This window comes from Homo sapiens, chromosome 8 (assembly GCF_000001405.40).
Source record: "Homo sapiens chromosome 8, GRCh38.p14 Primary Assembly".
In the NCBI taxonomy this organism is placed as follows: domain Eukaryota; kingdom Metazoa; phylum Chordata; class Mammalia; order Primates; family Hominidae; genus Homo; species Homo sapiens.
The window spans coordinates 14,662,098-14,686,551 of NC_000008.11; the positions used below are offsets into that span (position 1 = coordinate 14,662,098).

At 34.4% G+C, this 24,454-nt stretch overlaps 1 protein-coding gene across 4 annotated transcripts in view, besides 2 other annotated features; it reads right to left on the bottom strand.

Annotated features, from left to right (window-relative positions):
• Positions 1–24,454, bottom strand: part of SGCZ (sarcoglycan zeta) — a 1,153,587-nt gene that overhangs the window by 577,253 nt on the left and 551,880 nt on the right. The window lies entirely within an intron of this gene.
• Positions 10,846–11,347: an enhancer, noted in NCBI's record as "H3K4me1 hESC enhancer chr8:14530452-14530953 (GRCh37/hg19 assembly coordinates)". NCBI's record gives its function as "activates a minimal SCP1, AML or CMV promoter by ChIP-STARR-seq in naive H9 embryonic stem cells {active_cell/tissue: H9 hESC(naive)}" and the evidence as "EXISTENCE:reporter gene assay evidence [ECO:0000049][PMID:30033119]".
• Positions 11,348–11,848: an enhancer, noted in NCBI's record as "H3K4me1 hESC enhancer chr8:14530954-14531454 (GRCh37/hg19 assembly coordinates)". NCBI's record gives its function as "activates a minimal SCP1, AML or CMV promoter by ChIP-STARR-seq in naive H9 embryonic stem cells {active_cell/tissue: H9 hESC(naive)}" and the evidence as "EXISTENCE:reporter gene assay evidence [ECO:0000049][PMID:30033119]".

Here is a 24,454-nt window from a genome sequence, read left to right on the forward strand (position 1 = left end):
AAAGTTGTACTGAAGAAATTCAAAATCCAGTCACTGTAATACTACTCTCTCCCCTTCTCACTTTTTCTGTTTCCATTTTCTCCATGCGTTATTGATCTATTACAGTCTCTTTGCTTATCTATATTCTACCTATACTTCAAGACTCAGTTTAAATTCTGAGGTTGACAGACTTTGGATTCAAACAGATGTTATTTCCAATTTTTGATTTGTCTGTTTCTGTGATTTCAAGAAAGTTAAATTACCTGAATTTGTTTCCTCATGTGAAATGGGCAATATTATGTTTTCCACATAAATGCTATCAGGAAAAAGGGAGATAAAGCACCCTTGTGAGGCTCCTAATGAATATTAATCTCTTCCCCATTTGTGTTACTCAGTGCAGTCTCATCCAGTTGGAAATAATGCAATGTAAAGAATATGAGCTTAGTAGTAGAGTTTCAACAGAGTTTTACCACTCATACATGTGATACCTTCACTAGGTTGTTTAACCTGACTGGGTCCCTGTGTTAGGCTAAATAATGGTCCTCCAAAGAAGTCTATGAACTAATCCCTGGAAGCTTTGAATTTATTACATTAGAGGACAAAAGAAAATTAAGGTTGATAATGAAATCATGGTTGCCAATTAGATGAATTTAAGATGGGGAGATTATCCTGCATTATCCACAAGCATGGGCCCAAGGTAATCACAAGGGTCCTTGGAAGTGGAAGAAGAGGTAGAAGAGTGGGTCTGAGAGATGCAACAGGAGAAGAATTTGACTTGCTTTTCCAGAGTTTGAAGGTGGAGGAAAGAGTCATGAGCCAAGGGATGTGACAGTCTCTAGAAGATAGAAATGGGTTTCAGCTGACAGCCAGCAAGAAAACCGGAATCTCAGTCTTACAGTCTCAAGGAACTAAATTCTGCCAAAAACACAAATAAACAAGGAAACAGATCCTCCCCTAGGATGTCCAGAAAGAAATGCAGTTCTGCCAACAACTTGATCTTAGCCTCGGAATTATGACCTATAAAACTATAACATTGGTGTCTTTTAAGCCAAAAATCTAAAACAAATTCTTGAAGGAACAATAGAAAAACTAATGGAATTTCCTTCATAAGAATTCTTAAATAGGGACAATTGTACCTACCCCTTGGTATGATTTTGAAAATTTAATTTATTAGTTTCACAAAAAAACCTAGCACATTATTAGCATCCCATAATAAATGCTCTTTTTACGTATTTTTCTTCTTTTCTTATTTCACCCTGGATTCCTGTAAATGTATGCCATCTGTAGGTGTTATGTGGAAACTATGTATTGCTATATTTCACCTATAGATGTATGCAACTAATTATGTCCAGGTGATATCTCTTCCAGTATCAATTTCTATTATAATTTAAGCTCCACAATTTACTGGCTGTGATTTTCAGGTGAGTTGTCTAACCTCTCTGTGCATGCCTCCTATCTGTAAATGAAAATAATAAGGGTAATAACTCTTTTATCTAGTTGTGGTAATAATTCAATGGAATGCTACTTAAATAGCATTTAGACCAGCACCTGGAACATTGTATTTGCTCATTAAAATGAGCTACTTTTATTTTTTTCACAGGCTTATAGCCTTCAACTGATTAAACGATATGTCCCTTGATGTTCAAATAGTATCTTGGAGTAATTCTTATCCCACTTAGAACCTGGAAAAATGTCTAAATGAAAGTAGATACTTGATAAATATTCATGGACTCAATTTTATGTTCTCCTTTAATCTAGTCACATATCATTAGCACTTAGACCCATTCTATCCCCATCCCTAGCTTGAAGGATAAAAGGAACTTTCAGTGAGAGGAGGGAAGGATGGAACAAGTTAGAGAACCAGCGGCTTAGACACTTAGCTGCAGAAATACTGTCTTCCCTATTCTACTGTGTCAGACAGAGCAAGAAAATTTTAACATAATCAAAATTCACTCCAACTATGTTAAAGCTCTCTGATAGAGCTAAGTGCTGTATTTTCATGCTTAGATGTACAATGAGAAATGAGGACTAAATGGTTCCAAGTTAGTTTCCCAAATTCTGAAAATCTGAAGTCATTATTCTTTATAGCATAAGACACTCATCTTTTAAATAGGATTTGAACTTAGAATTAAACATTTTTCCATTGCATTGAGCACACAAAAGGCTGACTCAATGACTGAAGATGGGAATGTACAAAACAAGCCTGCTGAACTGAGCCAATCACAAACACAGTTTGCTGAAGCAGGTGGAATGGGAATCTCTAACTAGAATTATGTTAGATTACTTGAAACGAGGGACCATATTTTACTCATCTTGTGCTTAGAAGTGTGTCTTTAAAATGAAAGAAATACCAATATTTGTTTAATTCGATTGCATGAATTTAACTGCTGTTTAGCAGAGTATATAGGAATAGAAAAAGATATGTGATATTTCAACTAGGGAATCAAGATTTGAGCAGAGAACAAAACACAACATCATACTTTAAGGAGGACAAGAGCTCAAATCATCAACACCTATTCTTCTTATTAAAAGCAGGATGTAACCAACTAGTGGGACTAATTACTTAAAATGACTTATTTCAGTACATTTTATTATTTCATGTGTGTCACTTAGTGTATGCTATATGATTATCTTATGAAAACACTGATTTTAAAAATCTAATATCAGCTGTTGACATTACTCTCATAATTTGAATTCTGTGAACATTACTACAGTGAATGGTTTTTCTCTGAGAAACATGTTCAAAGAAAATAGCATCTGCTTCCAAATATCTCATGTTGTTCCAAAGCTCTCTGACATATGGATTGTGGTTAGTAGAGGTGGCTTTGAGACCAGGTCACCTCATTTTAGATACTATCTCTAGCACTAGGTGATCCTGGTCAAGCTATTTGTGAAATACCATTTGAATTTTTAGGTGGGGGAATAAATGGCATTAAAACTCTTTTTTAAAATTATACTCTAAGTTTTAGGGTACATATGCACAACGTGCAGGTTTGTTACATATGTATACATGCCATGTTGGTGTGCTGCACCCATTAACTCATCATTTAACATTAGGTATATCTCCTAATGCTATCCCTCCCCCCTCTCCCCACCCCACAACAGGCCCCGGTGTGTGATGTTCCACTTCCTGTGTCCATGTGTTCTCATTGTTCAATTCCCACCTATGAGTGAGAAAATGTGGTGTATGGTTTTTTGTCCTTGTGATAGTTTGCTGAGAATGATGGTTTCCAGCTTCATCCATGTCCCTACAAAGGACATGAACTCATCATTTTTTATGGCTGCATAGTATTCCATGGTGTATACGTGCCACATCGTCTTAATCCAGTCTATCATTGTTGGACATTTGGCTTGGTTCCAAGTCTTTGCTATTGTGAATAGTGCTGCAGTAAACATACGTGTGCGTGTCTTTATAGCAGCATGTTTTATAATCCTTTGGGTATATACCCAGTAATGGGATGGCTGGGTCAAATGGTATTTCTAAACTCTTATCACTATATCTGCAACAGAACAAGTGTTCAATAGACATTAGATATTTGCATTACTATATTTTAAAAAGTAATCCTTTCCTTGTGGCTTTGCTCAAAGCATCTTGGAGCTTTTCATACCCCATTCATCATGTTTATAGAATTTAATACAACCAACCAAGAAAAAAGAAGATGCATCTATATTTTCTTCTTCTATTCTTCTAATGTCTGTGTAGAAATCTTTACTAGCTGTAAATAAAGGGTGACAAAAGTCATATGGTCATTCTGAAATTAAATACGAGAAATTCAAAAATGACTATTAAGTGTCGATCGTCTGAATTGCAAAAGTTATGTTTTCACTTTCATTTTTAGTAAATTTAAACTTCAAAAATGCAAGTAATTCTAATGAAGGGATTTGAGGAAAAATTGAACGTCATCCCACATCCTGGGCAGCATGTAAGCCTTGCAGCATTAGGCTCTGTGACCTAAGCTTGCACAAGAACCTGATTCTGGCAACTGAGCAAACATTTGCCCTTCTCAGATTTTAAGTCTTTTCTCTGAATATCTTTTAACCACGCTGTTTCTGATGTTTTTGCCAAGCATCCACCTGCCTTTCAAATGTCCTAACAAATACTAGGGTTGCATCCAAGTCTCATGAAGCATCCTATTACTGAAATGTTTGTAGGGCATAAAAGGAATGCTGGCAGTGTGTACAGTAATAAATGCCTTTTCTGTTGTTGGTAATTTTCACATTGCTATTTTCATCAATTACTCACAATCAGAGACTTGCAGGATGGCAAAACTCACATGCAAGGTCTTTAAAAATCTGTCCTGCAAGTGAATTAATATTCCTCATTTTATGATGGTAATTGGTGACCAGATGCAGTGAATCACAAAAACGTTAGTGTCCTTTCAACCTAAGAATCTTTTGTCTGCTTAACAAACAGCAGGTTGAAGCCTGTAAAAGCAAATCACAAATAATATCTCAATTACATCTTATCAGCACAACTATTTGCCTGGCTTTTTTCTGTAGATAAACCAAAACATATTTATCAGTCTTTGGAACTGAGAAGGAGAGCACAAGTTATTTTCTCAGTACCCTAATAGAGAGACAAGGACATATCTTGTTGGTAGAATTTGCAAAAAAAAAAAAAAAAAGAATTGAATTACAGTGTAAGTTTCTGAAAAACATGACAACAAAACTAGGCCACATTTAATTATTATTTTACGCTGCTTGAGAGAAATAAATTCTGGAATCACTGTTGATATCTACATGTTTGGGGGAGTGAGGTAGTAACTCTCCAGCCTTATTTCATAAAAAGAACTATTTTAACGTCCATTAGGTACTAAAATATTCTATAAGAATAAACCCTAGAAATATGTTTGTATATAAACACACACATATATATGCACACAAATATATATATTTATATAGTACTAAGAATCGCTAATGAGCATAGCAATGATCAGTTTATATATAGCAATGATAATAGAGACATATAGAGAGAGACATATATATATGTCAATGTTATAGTATTATCTTCAATATTCAAAGTGCTTGAAGCAGGTATGATATAAATACAAACTTGAAAGTTTCCAATAAATATTCTGAAACCATTCTTTGGAAAGGAGGAAGGGCTGAGAGTAATGTAAAAGTTTTGGAGAGGGCATCAATTCCTAAACTAATTTCTCAGGATTATTCTGGCATGTATAACTGATGAAGAAACCTATTACACTAACTTAGGAAAGTTATTTGGCTCCTAGAGAAGCGGATGAATAAATTGAACTCATACAGGGTTTTTCATAACACACTTTTCAAAGCTTCATCTCATGATGCAGAACTGGAAAAATCCAGTGCACAAAATGTGGGATATCACAGCAATCATCGAACCCTGGACTCATGTTGTCATAAAAGCTTGTCGTACCACACCAAATTAACTTCCAGAGAAATGCATTTCAACTGTTGCTCTTTAAAAATACAGTCATAAAATACTCTTATTCTACTTTATGAAGTACCAAACTATAAAAAAATATAACACTCTCTTTCTGAAGCCAAATGTTGTGGATTTATGTGCTGTTTATACCACAAAGATACTTAAAAATCTAATGATTCCAGAATAGTATAATCACAATATTTTGAATTACCATCACTATTGAACTCTTGTTGATTTTCATGATGCTTAGGGCATTGTGTTGCCATTTTAGAATGAATAAAACATGGTCTCCGTAATCAAAGGGATAGTTGTTGAGACAGGTTATAAACATAAAAAAGAGATGATAATGAAAAACAATTAGAATATTATTGCTAAAATAAATACTATCCCTATACATGAGGACCTCAGCTCTCTTAGATACCTAGAGTTTACAAATACTTCAATGAAAATTTCAACCATGATCCACCAAGCAACCTGGGTTATTTATTTATTTATTTGAGATGGAGTCTCACTCTGTCGCCCAGGCTGTAGTGCAGTGGCACAATCCCGGCTCACTGCAACCTCCGCCTCCCAGGTTCAAGGGATTCTCCTGCCTCAGCCTCCCGAGTGGCTGGGATTACAGGCACCCCCGCCACCACACCCAGCTAATTGTTGTATTTTTAGTAGAGACGGGGGATTCACCATGTTGGCCAGGCTAGTCTCAAACTCCTGACCTCAGGTTATCCACCCATCTCAGCCTCCCAAAGTGCTGGGATTACAGGCGTGAGCCACCGCCCCCAGCCCAGATTTATTTTTAAATGAATTCAGTCCAAGCTCATAGGCGGAAATCTCTGTGGTGATTATATCCCACACTTGAATATATGGTTTTTTCAGTCAAATCCTACACCTGACTTTATACTCCACTTCATTTGATTACTTAAAAAAATAAGACCTCAGGTTGTTTCTAACCTCTGAGGTTAGCAAAAGAAACAATGGCATGATAAAGTGGTCTGATGCCTTTCTAAATGAAATTTAAAACCTGAAACTCCACCAAGATTTATAATCAGGAATTCACTCTTTGCTCTGTTTTGAACTTCATAACTTACTTTAAAATATAAGTTTTAACTACTCTTTCCTCTATGTGTCTTATAAATAATTACCTTTGTCCAAAAGCAATAAATTTTGATATGACTCTAGGCTGAAGTTATGAGGAAATATGAAGGTACTATACTGTCACAGAACAGCAGAAAGGCTAACCTAGAAGAATTTATATGAGGGGGTGAGTGAAAATGCCAACATCATGCAGGATTATTACTATTGCATTATGTCTTTATTTTATTTTTAAAAAATTTGACAAACATATATTTAAGGTATGCAGGTTGAGGATTTGATATCCTTATACATGGTGAAATAAATCACTACAATAAAGCTAATTAACAAATCTACCACTCAGTTATTTTCTTGTGTGTGTGTGTGTGTATGTGTGTGTGTGTTTGTGGTGAGAACATGTAAGTTCTACTCTCATAGAAAATTTCAAGTATACAATAAAATATTGTTAACTAGAGTTACAATATTGTGCACTAGAGGTCCACAACTGGCCAGGTGCAGTGGCTCAGGCCTGTAATCCCAGCATTTTGGGAGGCTTAGGCAGGTGAATCACTTGAGCTCAGGAGTCCAACACCAGCCTGAGCAACATGGTAAAACCTCGTCTCTACAAACACACACACACACACTACAAATATATATATATATATAGCTGGGCATAGTAGCTTGCACCTGTAATCCCAGCTACTCAGGAGGTGAGAGGCAGGAGGATCGCTTGAGTCCAGGAGGCCTAGATCTCAGTGAGCCAAGACATGCCACTGCACTCTAGCCTGGACAACAGAGCAAGACCCTGTCTCTAAGTAAGTAAGTAAGTAAGTAAGTAAGTAAATAAATAAATAAATAAATAAATAGGGTTCCATTACTTACTAATCTTGAATAACTAAAAGTTTGTATCCTTTGACCAGTATCTACCCATTTTCCTTGCCCCTCCATCCATAGGTAACCACCCTTCTACTCTCTATTTCTATGAGTATAACAACATAGATTCCATATATAAGTAAGATCATGCAGTATTTGTCTTCTTGTATCTGAATTATTTCACTTAGCAGAATGGCCTCCAGGTCCATACATGTTATCACAAATGGCAGCACTTGCTTCTGTCTTATGGCTGAATAATATTCCATTTTGTGTATACACACACACACACACACACACACACACACACACACACAATATTTTGTTCATTCATTCAACAGACTTTTAGTATGTTTCCATATCTTGTCTATTGTGAACTATGTTGAAATGGGAGTGCAGATATCTCATCGAGATCCTCACTTTACTTCCTTTAGATATATACCCAGAAATGGGGTTGCTGGATTTCATTTTCATAGTTCCATTTTAGTCCACATAGGAATTAAACTAACACTAAATACAATGTCCATGTCTTGTTACAGATTCTTCCTCTAATTACTTATTAAACAGCATATACAAGTACAGCATGATATTTTGGAAGCAATAACTAAGTTTATATCTTTTTCAGCTGTAATGATTTGTCAAAAAATCAAATCTATCCTTAAATTCAACTCCAGCAGGAATTTTAAAAATTGTTTTTGACAGTTTTATTAATCACAGTGTGTTCCTGTATCTTTAAGATTTGTTCCAGCCTGCATTCCAGGTTTTAAAATTAGGGAAATGTAAGATTATGTTTCCAAATATGCTGATGATATGAAGTTTTATATTGTAGCGATAGTGGATCCACTATGGTTGGTGATATGAACACATTAATTTGTAGCATAAACAACTATTTACTATTCCCCCCCAAATCAGAGTAAAATTACCTATCTGTACTTCAATTTATATCTAATACTGTCTCTTCTGAATTGCATATTATTGCTATCAGTTTATCATTAGTCTCCCAAATTGGTATGTTTCAAGGTGCCTGGAAAAGTTAATAATTGTGTTTGCAAGAACAAAGTTAAAGTATTTTCGTCTGTTATTTAGTCTGTTATTATACTAAGACTTCCTAATGATAATAGCAATGATTAGATTAATTTGAGGCTAATGGGATATGAGCAGATCTAATCTACAAAATGTTCTTACACCTGAGGAAAATAATACACTTAGTACATTTAAATTGGAACACAATGTATAATATTAAGAACACCAACAACAGAAATAGCACTCTCAATGGTCCAAGTCCTAAGCTGTTTGCATATTTTGACTCATTTATTTTCAGTACAACCCATGAGGTAGGTGTGATCCTTGTTCCTCATTTTAAAGATGATGAAACTGGGACCTAAAGGTGTTTAATTCCTTGTCTTAGTTTGCATAGATAGCAAATGTCAAAGCTCACATTCATTTCAAACTCAAGCTATCTGGCTGCACAGCCATGGTCTTAATTTACTACCCTATAGAACTAGTGAGTACACAGGTTGAAGCCAAGAACAGCTATCACTCAAAGAAAGAATAGGTCAGCCTGGATGTGTTTATATACCCATGTTTCTAGCTCTCAAGCTTCCTTGGTGTGCTGAAGCTTTGGTTGGGAAAGGAGTCCACTGCGCATTCATTTTCCTCTTCTTCAGTGTCTCTGGATTTATATATGTAATAGTTCCTCTGGACTTCAGCTTCAGAATCATGTAGGACTGAGTCATCCATTTATAGAACCCATTTCTTTTGTAACTTCTCAAAATATTTAAAATTGTGCAGATGAGGGAGTCTGATGGTTCTCGCAGTGGTGTCATGTGACAGTGGTATCTTTTTATGACCTCTACTGGCTGTCTCTGCTCTGGCATTTCATAATTGGGCTTCAACTTTGGAGACCTAAGTTATTTAAAGGAGTTTCTTATCAGGTGTTAAAACCCTTTTATTAATAGATGGAATGGAATCACTTGATTTTAATTTTTATCCAAGAAAAGAAAAAGCCAAGTTTGAAAAGTATTACATATTCAATGCTGCCTATTTTAATAAACTACCATAAAATTATTTGAAAAGATCTAACTGTAGGCTAGCACAAACACAATTAAATTTCAAGAAGGACTTATTTTGCAACTCTGTACTGCAAACTTTACTTCAGGGTGCCCAGGTGAGAAAAGGGCAAGAATTAGAAAGAATATGATTAAGAAAGTAGAAAAGAAAACCCAGAAACTAAGCCTGAGACATTTATATTCTTAACATTCAAACCATGCATTTTCACTTTTAAGCCAAATTACTTATAATAAATATTTGGATATAACATTAGGAATAATAACATAAATAATTTCAAAAACAAATAACAAACAAAACAATTTTTTCCAAAGATATATTTTAATTCCGTATTGAATATATATAGGCATTGGTGTCTTCTCTCTTCCGTATATCCTAATTCTGGAATATGTCTTCCCAACATAAACATACTAATGTAATTAATTATTAATTACTCTAACATATTTTGCCATTTTGCCTTATTAATATCATAAAACATCATTTTCGAAACTGAAGAGACAGCTACATTGAAAACAGACTATCTTCCAATTTGGGAATAAAAATCACAAATCTTAGCTACCGACCCAGAAGTTATTAGGACTCATTTCATTTAGGAAATAGAGGAAGAGTACTGAAAATAAATAATGCGGGAATTTAAAAAGAACTGTGAGGTTCTCTTTGCCTTCTAAATGCCATGAATAGGTTACGTACAAACTATACCACTCATCTGGCAGTTAACTATGACCACATTTTGAAAGCTATTTTATCTAGTTATTTAAAATATATAATTATTAAAATGTTCAATAAAATAGTAATCTGCCATTTGCTAAGCTGTTAATGCCCAATGTCTCATATTCCATAGCGGAAAACCAGCTGTAAATATTTGCTGATTGGTCAGATGTGCGATTTTAAGAATATTCTTGCAAGAAACATGATTGGGCTTTTAAACTACAGGAATCAAGCTGGTGGTTGTTTTTTAAATTCATGTATGTATGTATTTAATATTCAGCCCTGAAGTGCTATTATTAGAATATATGTTTTAAAGATGATTCAAAGATGAAAAAGGATGGTTCTTGCTCTTAAATCATGTAGCCACCTACAGTAGGTGCTGTAATAACATAAATATAATGGTTGGAGCAGGAAGTAACTAACTCTGGCTGGGAAACTACAAGAAAAGCTTTTTGGAGGAAACAGTGTTTGAATGAAGACACTGGTTGTGCTCAGGACAACCCTCCATCACAGAAAATTCTAAATTTTTTAGTCACCTCAGGCCTCCAGAACTTCTTTAACACTACCTTTACTTCATTCTGCTGTCTCTCCTAGTACTAGTAAGACCTCTTTGCTTTTACTCATAGAGTATGAATAAATGGTCTACATAAAGGATCAGTAATCTTTTTCTTATAAAGGGGTCAGAAAAATATTTTAGCCTTTCTGGGTCACATGGTCTATGCTGCAACTACTCATCTCTGCTGTTGTACAGAGAGAGAAACCAGACAAACTGGAAAGAAAGCAGTGTTGCTGTGTTTCAAGCAAAAGTAATTTATAAAAACACACAGCAGGCAAGATTTGGCCTGAGGCTGTTGTTTGCCAGCTTTTGGTCTAGATTACCCACCTCAAATGTCCTGGTGTACTTCTTTTATGTTTCCATTGTATCACATCCCATTATCCCATCTATACAACATAGTGAGTGTTATGATGTTTACCCTGTATTGTAACCACTATACTGTCTTGTAAACATTAATTTATGACCTATTAGATGGTTGATATGGTTTGGCTCTGTATCCCCACCCAAATCTCATCTCAAACTGTAATTCCCACATGTCAAGGGACGGACCTGGTGGGAGGTGATTGTATCATGGGGGTGGTTTCCCCCATGCTATTCTCATGATAATGAGGGAGTTCTCATGAGATCTGGTGGTTTTATAAGTGGCAGTTTCACCTGCTCTCTCTCGCGCTCGCGCTGTCTCTCTCTCGCGCTCGCGCTGTCTCTCTCTCTCTCTCTCACTCTCTCTCTCTCTCCTGCCATCTTCTGAAGTAGGTGCCTGCTTCCCCTTTGCCTTCGCCATGATTGTAAGTTTCCTGAGGCCTCCCAATCCATGTGGAACTGTGAGTCAATTAAACCTCTCTTATTTATAAATTACCCAGTCTCTGGCAATATTTTTATAGCAGTGTGAAAATGGACTAATACAATGGTAAATATATAGAGGTCAGGAATCAGATTTATAAATGCTTAATATGACTTGAATAAATGAACGAATAAATGAACAAATTAATGTACAGATGAACAAATTAAAAATGGAAGAAAAGAAAACCAAGGACAATCTGATGCCCGATGTAGATGCTACTCAATTATTCTAGGCCCTAAAATTAATGCAAAAGAAAACTAAAAGTAAACACAAAGTTTATAAAAATGTATGATCTGTGATATACACAATATATTCATTTTTATTTTAGTTTCATTGATAAGAAGACGTTCAAAACAAGAAAGGTAATTGGCAGTAAATATCTTTGTTATTGAATGTGTCACACACTTTTAAATGCTTTAAAGTGATCCACAAGATAAATACTAATTTGGAGATGAAGTTCGATGAATAAATTTATATATTTTTATTTTTTTAGAAATTAGTATAAACTGTTAAAACCTTCAATAAAGTATAACTCAGAATAAAACATAAATAGGTAGTTATCTGTTTTCATGTTAGCTTAGCTAATTTTTAAAAGAAAAGTAAGAATCCCTTTTTCTTGTTTTTTTTTCTAAACGTGAAATCATCCTGATTTCGGTGTTTCCTACACCAAAAACACCAACGTAAAACCTTAATTCAAGTTTGTTTAAGGAAACTATTTCTTTTCTTTTAGTTAAAAGATAAGAGTAAAAATGTGTGGGAAACTACTATTGTTCAAAGTAATTAAAACAGCTCATTTTTAAGATTAAATTTACAAGAAAAAAGATAAACTAATTGTACAGAAGTAGCTAAATGGAGCATATTATGTTGAACTGATCTTTAGTTCCTGATAGTATAGCTATAAATATGCAAAATTGGTTTGAAAATAAAATGTGTAGTTTACAATAAACCTATATGGTGCTATTCTATTCATTCCACAAATTTCAGTTTTGATACGGTTTGGGTTACTTTCCCACCCAAATTTCATGTTTAATTGTAATCCACAATGTTTGACGTGGGACCTGGTGGGAGGTGATTGTGGATCATGGGGGTGGATTTCTCATAAACGGTTTAGCTCCATCCCCTTTGTATTGTCCTTGAAATAGTGAGTGAGTTCTCAAGAGATCTGATCATTTAAAAGTGTGTAGCCCCTCCCCTGCCCTCTCCTCCTCCTGCTTTTGCCATGTAAACTGCCTGCTCCCACTTTGCCTTCCACCATGAATAAAATCTCGTTGAGGCCTCCCCAGAAGCAGATGCCATCATGCTTCCTGTACAGTGAGCCAATTTAACCTCTTTTCTTTTCTGTTTTTTTTTTTTTTTTTTTTTTTTTTTTGAGATGGAGTCTCCCTCTGTCGTCCAGGCTGAAGTACAGTGGCGTGAACCCAGCTCACTGCAAGCTCTGCCTCCCGGGTTCACGCCATTCTCCTGCTTCAGCCTCAGGAGTTGCTGGGACTATAGGCACCCGCCACCACGCCTGGCTAATTTTTTTTGTATTTTTAGTAGAGACAGGCTTTCACCGTGTTAGTCAGGATGGTCTCGATCTCCTGATCTCGTGATCTGCCCACCTCGGCCTCCCAAAGTGCTGGGATTACAGGTGTGAGCCACCGCACCCGGCCAAACCTCTTTTCTTATAAATTACCCAGTCTCAGGTATTTATTTTTAGCAATGCAAGAACAGAACAATACAGTAGTCCATAAATAATGCATAATACCGAAACAAACATTTCTCTCTTTAGAATGTACAACATATATTTATTGTTTCAGAAAGGTCCATTTTAGAGGTATGTAATTCACATATTAAATACAGAGGAAAATATTATATAATAGAAGCTCTATACATTAAAATCACATTTTAAATGGCTTATTTATTGACCACTGTATACACTTTACAGAGTGTATACACTTTACCATTGTATATATAGATTCCTCAATTTATATGAGAAAATATGTTAAATTACCAAAAAATATACACTGAGCTCCTACTGTTTGGCAGCTGCTTGCCCAGGTGCTGGAAAAAATGTGATGAGCAAAAACAATGGACAGAAAGAGAGGGACAGAAACACAACTCTGATTTCCCGTCTTGCCTTAAACACCTGGAACTCCCAACAAAATATGTAAAATATCATCTTTTCAGGGAAAATGGAAACAAATAACACTGATATCAAAGATAAAAACAAGCAAGATGAGCTCATTGCATGGAATGAATTTCCAAACTGCTGTGCAGATTTGGGGGACCCAAACAAAGCTCATTATTCTTGCTGAGTTTGGAGACAGGTTTCAGAGGTCAGGGAGGCTAAGGTGGTGAGAATTTTGACCAGAATAGCAGATAGATGGAAGGTAAACAGAAACACCTGCAGAGTGGTTCCTTAAATATTTTCTGTACTGTTAGGTGCACGTATTTGAGAAAACTACTGAGACCAGGGAAGAAAACTAGCAGAGGAATGAAGTGGGAGGAATAATTCTCAGGGATCAACCCAACTCAGGAATAGTTTGTGTTCCTACCAGAAAGAATAAAGACCTCCTAACACATGATATAATGTTGAACCTAGACTACAGGCTATTCTGTCTCTGCACTCAAAAGTATCATCCCTGCAATGCCAGAACTTTTGGAGGCCAATGCAGAAGGATCTCTTAAGGCCAATGCAGAAAGATCTCTTAAGGCCAGGAGTTTGAGACCAGCCTGAACAGCATAGAGAGATCCCACCTCTACAAAAATGAAATAGATGTGTGTGTGTGTGTGTGTGTGTATCTCCAGCCCTGATGGCATATGCCTGTAGTTCTAGCTACTTGGGAGGCTGAGACAGGAGGATCACTTGAGTCCAGGACTTCGAGGCTGTGATGAGGTATGATTGTGCTATGGCACTTCAGCCTGGAGACAGAGTGAGACTCCATCTCTATCAGAGTAAACCTCAAAATTAATCACAATGATTTAACTGCCTCACAGGAAAATAGTCCAACATTATTTAAAGAAATTCCCCAAAACCTACTGCACAATAATATAAACCACGATGTGTGGCATTAGAAAAATACAAGATATGCAAAGAAGTGGAAAAGCATGAACCTTAAGAAGGATAAAAATCAACTAATAAAAACACATGATCATATCAACAGATGCAGAAAAGAATCTGATAAAATCCAACACCTGTTAGTGAAATGAAAAAGCTCTTAGAAAACAAGAAATAAAGCGTATTTTCTAAGCTTAATAATATCTGTAAAAAACGTACAGCTAACACCATACTTAACGGCTAGAAACTACCAGATTTACTGCAAAGATAAGGAATAAGGTAAGGATGCCTCTTCTCGTCACTCTTTTTCAACATCATACTGTAAATTCTAGTTAATGCAATAAGAAAGAAAAAAATAAACAAGGATATAAAGATAAGGAAGGAAGAAATAAAACAATATTTGTTAACAGATGACATAATTGTCTATGTAGAAAATTAAAAAGAACTGACCAAAAAAAAACCTCTCCTGGAGCAAATAAGTGATAATAGCAAGGTGATGCAACATTAATATACAAAAGTCAAAAACTTATATGCCAGCAATGAGAAAGTGGGAACTGAAATTAAAACACAGCATCATTTACATTAGCATCCAAAAATAAAATACTTAGAAGTAAATCTAGAAAAATATAAAAGATATATATAAAGAAAATTATAAGACTCTGATCAAAGAAATCAAATAACTAGAAAATGAAGAAATATTTCATGTTCATGGATAGGAACACTCAATATTGTCAATATATTAGTTCTTCCCAACTTGATTCATAGATATAATGCAACCCAATCAAAATCTCAGCTTATTTTATGAATAACAACAAATTGATTCTACATATTGTTATGAATAACAACAAACTGATTCTATATGGGCCGGGCGGGGTGGCTCACACCTGTAATCCAGCTTTTTGAGAGGCTGAGGTGAGCAGATCACTTGAGGCCAGGAGTTAGAGGCCAGCCTGGCAAATACAGTGAAACCCAGTCTCTACTAAAAATACAAAAATAAGCCAGGAGGGGTGGCCTGTGCCTGTAATACAAGCTACTCAGGAGGCTGAGGCAAGAGAATCGCTTGAACCTGGGAGGCAGAGGTTGCAGTGAGCCAAGATCGCACAAGTAAACTCCAGTATGGGCAACAGAATGAGACTCCGTCTAAATAAATAAATACATAAATAAATAAATAAATAAGTAAACTTTATATGGAGAGGCAAAAGGCCTAGAACAGCTAAAATAACATTGAAGGAGGAGAACGAAGTTGGAGGACTGATATTTATCTGACCCTAGTATTTACTATAAAGCTATGGAAATCAAGATAATATGGTACTGGTGAAATAATAGACAAACAGAGCAATATAACAGCAAAGTGCCCAGAAACAGACAAAACAATTAATTTAGACACAGACTTTGAATCCTTCACAAAAATTAATACAAAATGGATCACAAACTTAAATGGAAAACACAGAACTGTAAAATTTCAAGTAACATAGGAGAAAATCTAGATGAGCTTTTGTTTGGCAATGTTGACGTAGATACAACAACAAAGACATAATCCATGGAACAAAGAATTAATAAATTGGATTTCATTAAAATAAAATGAAAACTTCTGCTTATTGAAAGACACTGTCAAAAGTATGAAAAGATAAGCTACAGGCTAAGAGAAAATATTGTAGAAAACATATTTGAAAAAGGACAATAACCAAAAATATACAGAGAACTCTTAAAATAAGAAATCAAACCAATCTACTAAAAAATGGGCCAGACACCTTAATAGACACTTCACCAAAGAAGATGTACCAATGGTAAATAACCATATGACAAGATGCTCCACATTATATATCATCAGGGAAATGCAAAGTAAAACAACAATGATATGCCACTAAGAACTTATTAAAATTGCCAAAACCATAATATTGACAACACCAAATGCTAGTAAGGATGTGGCGCAAAAGCAATTCTCATCCATTGCTGGTAAGAATGCAAAATGGTACAGCCACTCTGGAAAAGGCTTTGACAGTTTCCTACAAAACTATATAAATGCTTATCCTATGATCCAGCAATCGTGCTCCACGGTCTTCCTCAAAAGGAATTGAAAACCTATGTTCATAGAAAAACCTGCACTTGAAAGTTGATATTTATTCATAATTGAAAAAACTTGGAAGCAACCAAGATGTTCTTCAGTAGGTGAACAGATAAATACACTGGTACACCCAGATGATGGAATATTATTTAGCATTAAAGATAAATAAAATATCAAGCTATGAAAAGATATAGAGAAAACTTAAGTGCATATTACTAAATGACAGAAGCTAATCTGAAAAGCCTACATACTGTAAGATTCCAAATACAGCATACCAACATTTCAGTCAAGGACAGACAGCACGTATGATAGTTGCCTGTCCTATCATAAGATTATAATGAAGCTCAAAAATTCCTATCGTCTAGTGATGTCATACTGTCGTAAACTCATAGTGCATGGCACATGTGTTTGAGGTAGTGCAGGTATAAACCGACCTACTGCACTGCCAGTCATATAATAATATATCACATACAATTACTTACAATACATAATACTTGATAATGATAAAATGACTTACTGGTTCATATATTTACTATACCATAAATTGTATTATTATTTTAGAGTGTGCTTCTTTTGCATACATATTTTTTTTAAAGTTAACTGTAAGCCTCAGGAAGATCTTTCAGGAGGTATTTCTTTTATCATAGGAGATGACAACTCTATGCCTGTTATTGGCCCTGAAGACATGTTAGTGGTACAAGATGTACAGGGGGAAGACAGTGACATTGATGATCCTGACCCCGCATAGGCCCAAACTAATATGTGTGTTCGTGTATTAGTTTTTATCAAAAAAGTAATATATATACATATATATTATATATATACACACATATATGTGCTTATAAAATCATTACATAAAATACTTTGTGCATCTATACAATGGTTTTGTGCTTTAAGTGTTATTACAGAAAAAGTAAAAATTTGAAGAAATATAAAGATTTATAAATAAAACAGTTACAGTAAGCTAAAGTTAATTTATTATTGAAGAAAAATATTCTCATAAATTTAGTGTAGCCTAAGGTACAGTGTTTATAAAGTCCCCAATAGTGCATAGTAATGTCTTATCCCTTTATATTCACTAGCCACCTACTCACCCAGAATAACTTCTAGACCTGCAAGCTCCTTTCATGGTAAGTTTCCTATACAGATGTTTTCTTTGATACCCATTTTTTCTCTTTGATACTATATATTTTTTATTTTTTTAACTTTAAATAATTTTGATACACACTTACCATTGTGTTACAAATGCCTACAGTACTCAGAACAGTAAAATGGTTTACAGGTTTGTAACTCAGGCTACACCATGCAGTCGATGTGTGTAGTAGGCTATACCAGCTAGGTTTAAGTATTTTCCATAATATTTGCACAATGATGAAATTGTCTAAGTATGTGTTTCTCAGAATGTATCTCCACTGTGAAGTCATGCATGACTATATGTGATATTCTGGAAAGTGCAACGTTATGGAGACACTAAAAAGTACAGTGGTTGCAAGAGGTGAAGTGGAGGGGGTAGAGATAAACAGGCAAAACATGGTGGAATTTTAGGGCAGTGAAACTGCTCTGTATGATGCTATAATGGTGTATACGTGTCATTATAAACTTAACAAAACCCATAGAACATACAACACCAAAAGGGAACCCTAATGTAAACTTTCCGTATTAGTGATAATGATATGTCAGTATAGGTTAACCAGCTGTAAAAACTGTGGCACTTTGGGAGATGTTTACAATGGGGAAACTATGTATGCATGGTGGCAATATATGATATTTCTGTTCCTTTTGTTCAATTTTACTATGAACTAAATACTGTTCTAAAAATTATCTATTAAAAATGAAATAAAAATCACTCATATAAACGGAGCAAGAAATCTCACAGATATAATTAGTGAAAAAATACATTAAAAAGCTCTTATAAATACACTGCATATATTCCAAAGTAGAAGAAGGCATGAGACTGGTGAGGAGAGACATAGATTGTACGGAGCAAGAAATCTCACAGATATAATTAGTGAAAAAATACATTAAAATGCTCTTATAAATATACTACATATATTCCAAAGCAGAAAAAGGCATGAGCCTGGTGAGGAGAGATACAGACTGTATTTAAAAAGACACAAATTAAACTCCCAAAGATGAAAATACAGTGTCTTAGATGAAATATATACTGGACAGGATTAACAGCACATTGGACACTCAGAAGAAAACATTAGTGAACTTGAAAATATGGCAACTTGAAGAATCCAAATGAAACATACAGAGGAAAAAGAGTGGGAAAAAAAAAAAAAAAAACAGAAAATCGGTGAACCCTGGCACAATACCAGGAGATCTAACATACTTTTAATTGAAATCCATAGATGAAATTGCCCTAGTTCAGAGTAATGAGCTAGACAAATACATTTAATGAAATAATGGCAAAAACAGGCCCACAACAACTGTAAATTAAAGAAAAAATAGTCCAAAGAAACACGCAGCACAGCACACTAAAATATATCACAATTTCTGAAAATCCATGATTATGAGTCTTGCAATCAGCCTGAGGGAGGAAAAAAGACATTATGTACAGATGAACACAATTAGGAATTACTGTAGATGTATAATCAGGAACAATGCAAGCCACAAGACAATGAAGTGCCATATCTAATGTATTAAAGGGGGAAAAATGACAGCCTAGGCTTCTATACCCAACAAAAACTATTTTACTAAAAAATAGAAATAGGACTTTTAGAAATATAATGTAAACCATCACATTATCATGTATAGGTTAATTTCACCTGTGGTTTTAGTCATTTCATGGCTACAGAAAGATAGATACCACCTATGTATATGTTACCTTGCCTGGATCATGTTGCTCGGACTTCGAATGATATAAAGAGAAGCTAAAGTTATGATGGTCTTCGAAATACCTCATTCATATATGTAACAAAGTACATACGCATAATCCTAAAATGAGATTAGATGTAAAATTCAGCAGTGATCAGATATTACTCAGATCTAAAATAATTATGTCCCTGATTATTAATTCTATAATTTAGCAGCTATTTCATCAACCCTTCTTCTTGGTGAATGAATATCTTAGAGAGAGGTCTCTGCATGTTTTTTAATGTTCTCCTCTTGCATGGCAGGAAGCCCATGGGCTTTTAGATGACACAAGTGAATTCAACAGGCATCTTAGGGAGAAGTAGTTTAAATGATAAATGGCACATTTATAGCTAATGTTTGGTAAGTATTTTAATGTTCCATATATTTTAATATTAATAATAAATAATCCATAATAATAATGACTTTAATATTCATAGTAACAGAGAACGAATTTGAAGCACAGAGAAAAATAACATATCTGCCCAGAGGTAGCAAAGGGTTCAATCCAACCTTTAGTCCAGGTAGTCAGATTTCACAGCCCTGGGGCATAATCTATTATGTAGTGATGCTTCAAGCATGGATGGCAAAGGCTGGAAAGGTTCAGAGAATAGCCGATCAATTTGTTCGACTAAAGAAATGATGGAAAATACAATGGGAAATACAGGAAACTTTAACAGGAATATAAAAGAGGCTAGGGTTGTACTATAGAAAATATTTCATTTTTGAATATAAGATTATACTTTGAGTATGAAAAGCAATGAAAGGCCTCCCATCCACCAGATGGTGATAATAGGAACAATACATATGTACAGATTATGTACCACTTTGTATAAGTAAAACTTAATTAAAAATGCACATACATATATAATGCACCCTGCAATGCAATTTTTTTTTTTTTTTTGAGACAGAGTCTTGCTCTGTCGCCCAGGCTGGAGTGCAGTGGTGCAATCACGGCTCACTGCAATCTCCGCCTCCCGGGTTCACGCCATCCTCCTGCCTCAGCCTCCTGAGTAGCTGGGACTACAGGCGCCCACCACCACGCCCGGCTAATTTTTTGTATTTTTAGTAGAGACGGGATTTCACTGTGTTAGCCAGGATGGTCTCGATCTCCTGACCTTGTGATCGGCCCGCCTCGGCCTCCCAAAGTGCTGGGATTACAGGCGTGAGCCACCATAAACCATGCACATAACTTAACAAACAGAGATGTCTTTTACCATGCAGAATACTTTACCTTAAACACTCAGTTTTGAAATCTAAATAGCCATTTGAATTTCAGTGATCAAATCCAAACTGATTGATTTAAAGGTAAATTGGGCTAGATTCAGTATTGTTTAACCTTTTGTAAATAACTGCATAGATGACATTTGCCGGCAGATGGTGAAAGTCAACACCTCTGAATCTGTGTTCAGAATTTGTAATTATTGGGGTGGCCATAGAAGATGACCAGATAACGCCATTTAATTTAATAGAACCAGGTGTCAAATATTTCTATAAGGTACAAAATAAGCAACTTGTGAAAACCCATGATGATAAATGACTGTATATTTGGGATTCTGACAAGAACACTTCAAGTATGTCACAAAATCAGAAATCTCAATGATTCAACAAGGTACTCAGGTGTAAAATATGCCTAAATACTAATAGGGAAATCTTCAGGCAATAGACTAATTTATAATAACAATAAATGCTTACGATTACAATCCATTTTATACCCAACATTTACCAGGAGTTAACACCAAGAAAGTATGACAGATGTTTAAGGTGGCATCAACCGTTGAAATAACACTTGTATAAATTTAGAAATTTCAGAACTACAAAAACATTCAGAAGCAATATATAAAAAAAGAATTTAAGAATTGGAAAAAACTAAAAATTAGAATATTTATCCTTTAATGGCAGATATTTACCCTAAGAAATAGAAAAAATACATATGAACTCTTTGTCATGATTAACTTGAAACACACAATGTAAATAACTTCTTCCCAAATTCATCAAGTAAATTATATTAATCATTAGAAAACAGTTTAAATTAGATCTGATCAAGATTCTTATTTTCCCAGATAATAAGAGGAACTTTGATTTCTTCAACTTGGAAATTAATTTTACATCAAATATACCATAACAAAATAACATAGTACAAGTGTATAATTCTTCACTTAATTTTTGGTTTGTTTTATTCTTCCTTCAGTGAGCTTTTTCAAAAAATATTGCCATCATTCTTGTACAGAACCATAGCATTTTAGGGCTCGAGAAAATTAAGTGATTTTCTCATTTGGAGATTAATTAGCTTATCTGGAACTAGAAGTTATATCCTCTGATACACACTTAAACGTACCATCAACTATAGAATTTCATCAATCTTAAGATGCATGATTTTTCACATTTTAAAATATCTAAAATCTGAATGTGTTTCATCTCACAATCCATGGGATGCCATAGGTTTATCACTTGTGCTTTTCCTTTCTCAGTGATATATAAAAGTGGTTTATGGTATACAGTCCTAGAGATTATGAAACCCAACATGCCATTTTTAAATATATAAATTATGTACTTTTCCAGTGATTACATCAATTAAATTGTTTCAGAGCTTTTTAAAAATGATTGTTCATTTCTAACTAAATGAACGTCTACATGTACTCACTCCCTTCATAATGCAATTTTTACTTGGCATCTGATGGCTTCTTAAATGATGTTTTGGCCCAGTTTAATAATTTTTCTATAAACAACAGCTTGTTTTTTGAGTATTAAATAAGACAATCAAGTTCTTTAGGGAAAGTGGAACCAAATCATGTATTGAAAAGTCATGGCAACGTATTTATGTACAGACACATTTTGGTTCGTTACATCACATTTCATACAACTTACAGGAATTTCACTAATATTTTTGGCTTCTCTGTTACTGACTCTGGCTAAAAGAGCTTTGGGACATTGTAGTGAGTTGGCTCGTGCTCTTAAAGCTGCTGGAGTTTTGCTAACTAATTTTCTCAGAGTATTCATACTGTAAACATGTTGTAGCAGATTAAAAATACCTATAAAACACACAAGCAAATAAGTGTAAAAATTAAAATAGCTTTAAAAAGTTCATCTAAATGATGCATCTCAAATCTGAGGCTGAAATAGTTTCGACACCTTTGTTTTTCCTTTTTTTGTTTTTTTTTGGTTTTTGGTAAAACAGTTTAACAGGAATCACATCATATATAAAATTGCTGCAAAGAAGTCTTTCCTTTCAAAAAAAAATCTACAATGCTTCATAACCCTATTGGTAGCAGGCCCTTGTCATTTCAAGAAACAATGCAGCCTTCACTGAAACACATGTGTGGAGGAGGGAGGTCTGTTATCTGTGCAGGTCGTAATTCCTGGTCCTCTGTTTAAACATGCAGTGGCATTTCCTATGTAATTAAATTTCTAAATGTACAAGCAAACTTTGTCTACATATTGGCATGTATAATAAATTATTAATTAGAATTGTCAAAAACCATTAATTTGAAATCTGTAGAGCAAGTCTTCAGCCTCTTGACTGTACCATGAGATTCATTTAGAAATTATTTAAACACATTAATTAAAACTAAGTTTAAATATTCTAAAATTAATACTGATAAAGAAGGAAAATTAAATCTTCAAGTTATGTTCTGCTTGTATTTCATGATGGAGCAGTTATTTGCACCTGGAATAATTTAAATAGTAAAGGTATATGAATAAAACAAACTTTATAATTATTATGTGGTATTTTGGGGTGGACATTTCCAATTACAGAGTAAAAAAGATTAAAAAATTCTCTCATTACTATTAGAATTAGACAAAGATAGAAGTCTAGCTTGAGCTATTAAGGCACGTTTAAAATATATCTAAAAAATGAAAATGGTTAATTTTTCTAAATTAACAACATTCAAACTTTTCAATCCCATAGTTTATGAAATTGGAGGAGCCCTTTTATATGACAATCTCAATTTACAACATACTTTGGTTAATTCATGTATGTAACTACTAATATTGCTATTCATTGAAATACTCCAGTAAGGCAATACCCAGTTTTAATGGCTAACTTTGTAGGGCTGTGGTATTATTCTAATTAATCACTACATATGAGTTATTAAATATTTACAGTATTATTCATTTCCATATCTACATTAACACCAATATTGGTATCTATTACATATAAAGCTAGTTTTTATGCAAAGTAAAATGTATGATTTAATTTACAGGAAAGTCTATTTAAATATTACAGATGAACACACAGCTGTTAGGAAAAAAACCTCGACAAGTTAACAATTCTGTCAATAAATGTTCATTAAACAATGAATAAACCTTTCACTGAACTAAAGAGCATTCATCTAGTTTACCACCCCAAACCAGTGTACTAGAATTCATGACAGCAAGACTTGGGTTTAGCTGTTACACTAATAAACCTACAGATACTCAACCACAATATGGTGGTCTAAAAGGAAAATTAAGGAAGCCCATACTTCTACTAATGAACAGGTAACTAATTACTTCTAACAAACTATATGTTTCGTCTCGGGAAGACTTTGCTCTCAAGACTTAACTCACCTCCTATCCAGGTAGTGCATATAAAAACTCATCTGAGCAATTTATATAGAAAATTATTCTTGCCCTCCAATCACTTTATTGAGTATCATTTACAGTATATGTTTAGAAGTAATTTGGAATCTTGGCTTCACCCTGATCAGGTTATAGAAAGGATATCCAAATGAATAATTGCTGTAATATGTTGTAAGCACTAAATTTGAGTAATTTGAAATATACAATATAGTAACAAATAAAAGAAAAAAATCTGGTGCACTAAATAAAATGTTTCCAAGGGAGAAACAGGAGTGATGGGACTCGAAACATAGCAAGAACAATTAGGAGATTGTTTCAATAATTCAACTGAGATATAAGAGATCTGAAAATAAACTAGGAGTAATAGAGTTGGACAGAAGGTAGTTGGAATTGATAAATTGGTCACTAAGGCATATAGATTTAAAAGCATATTATGGGAG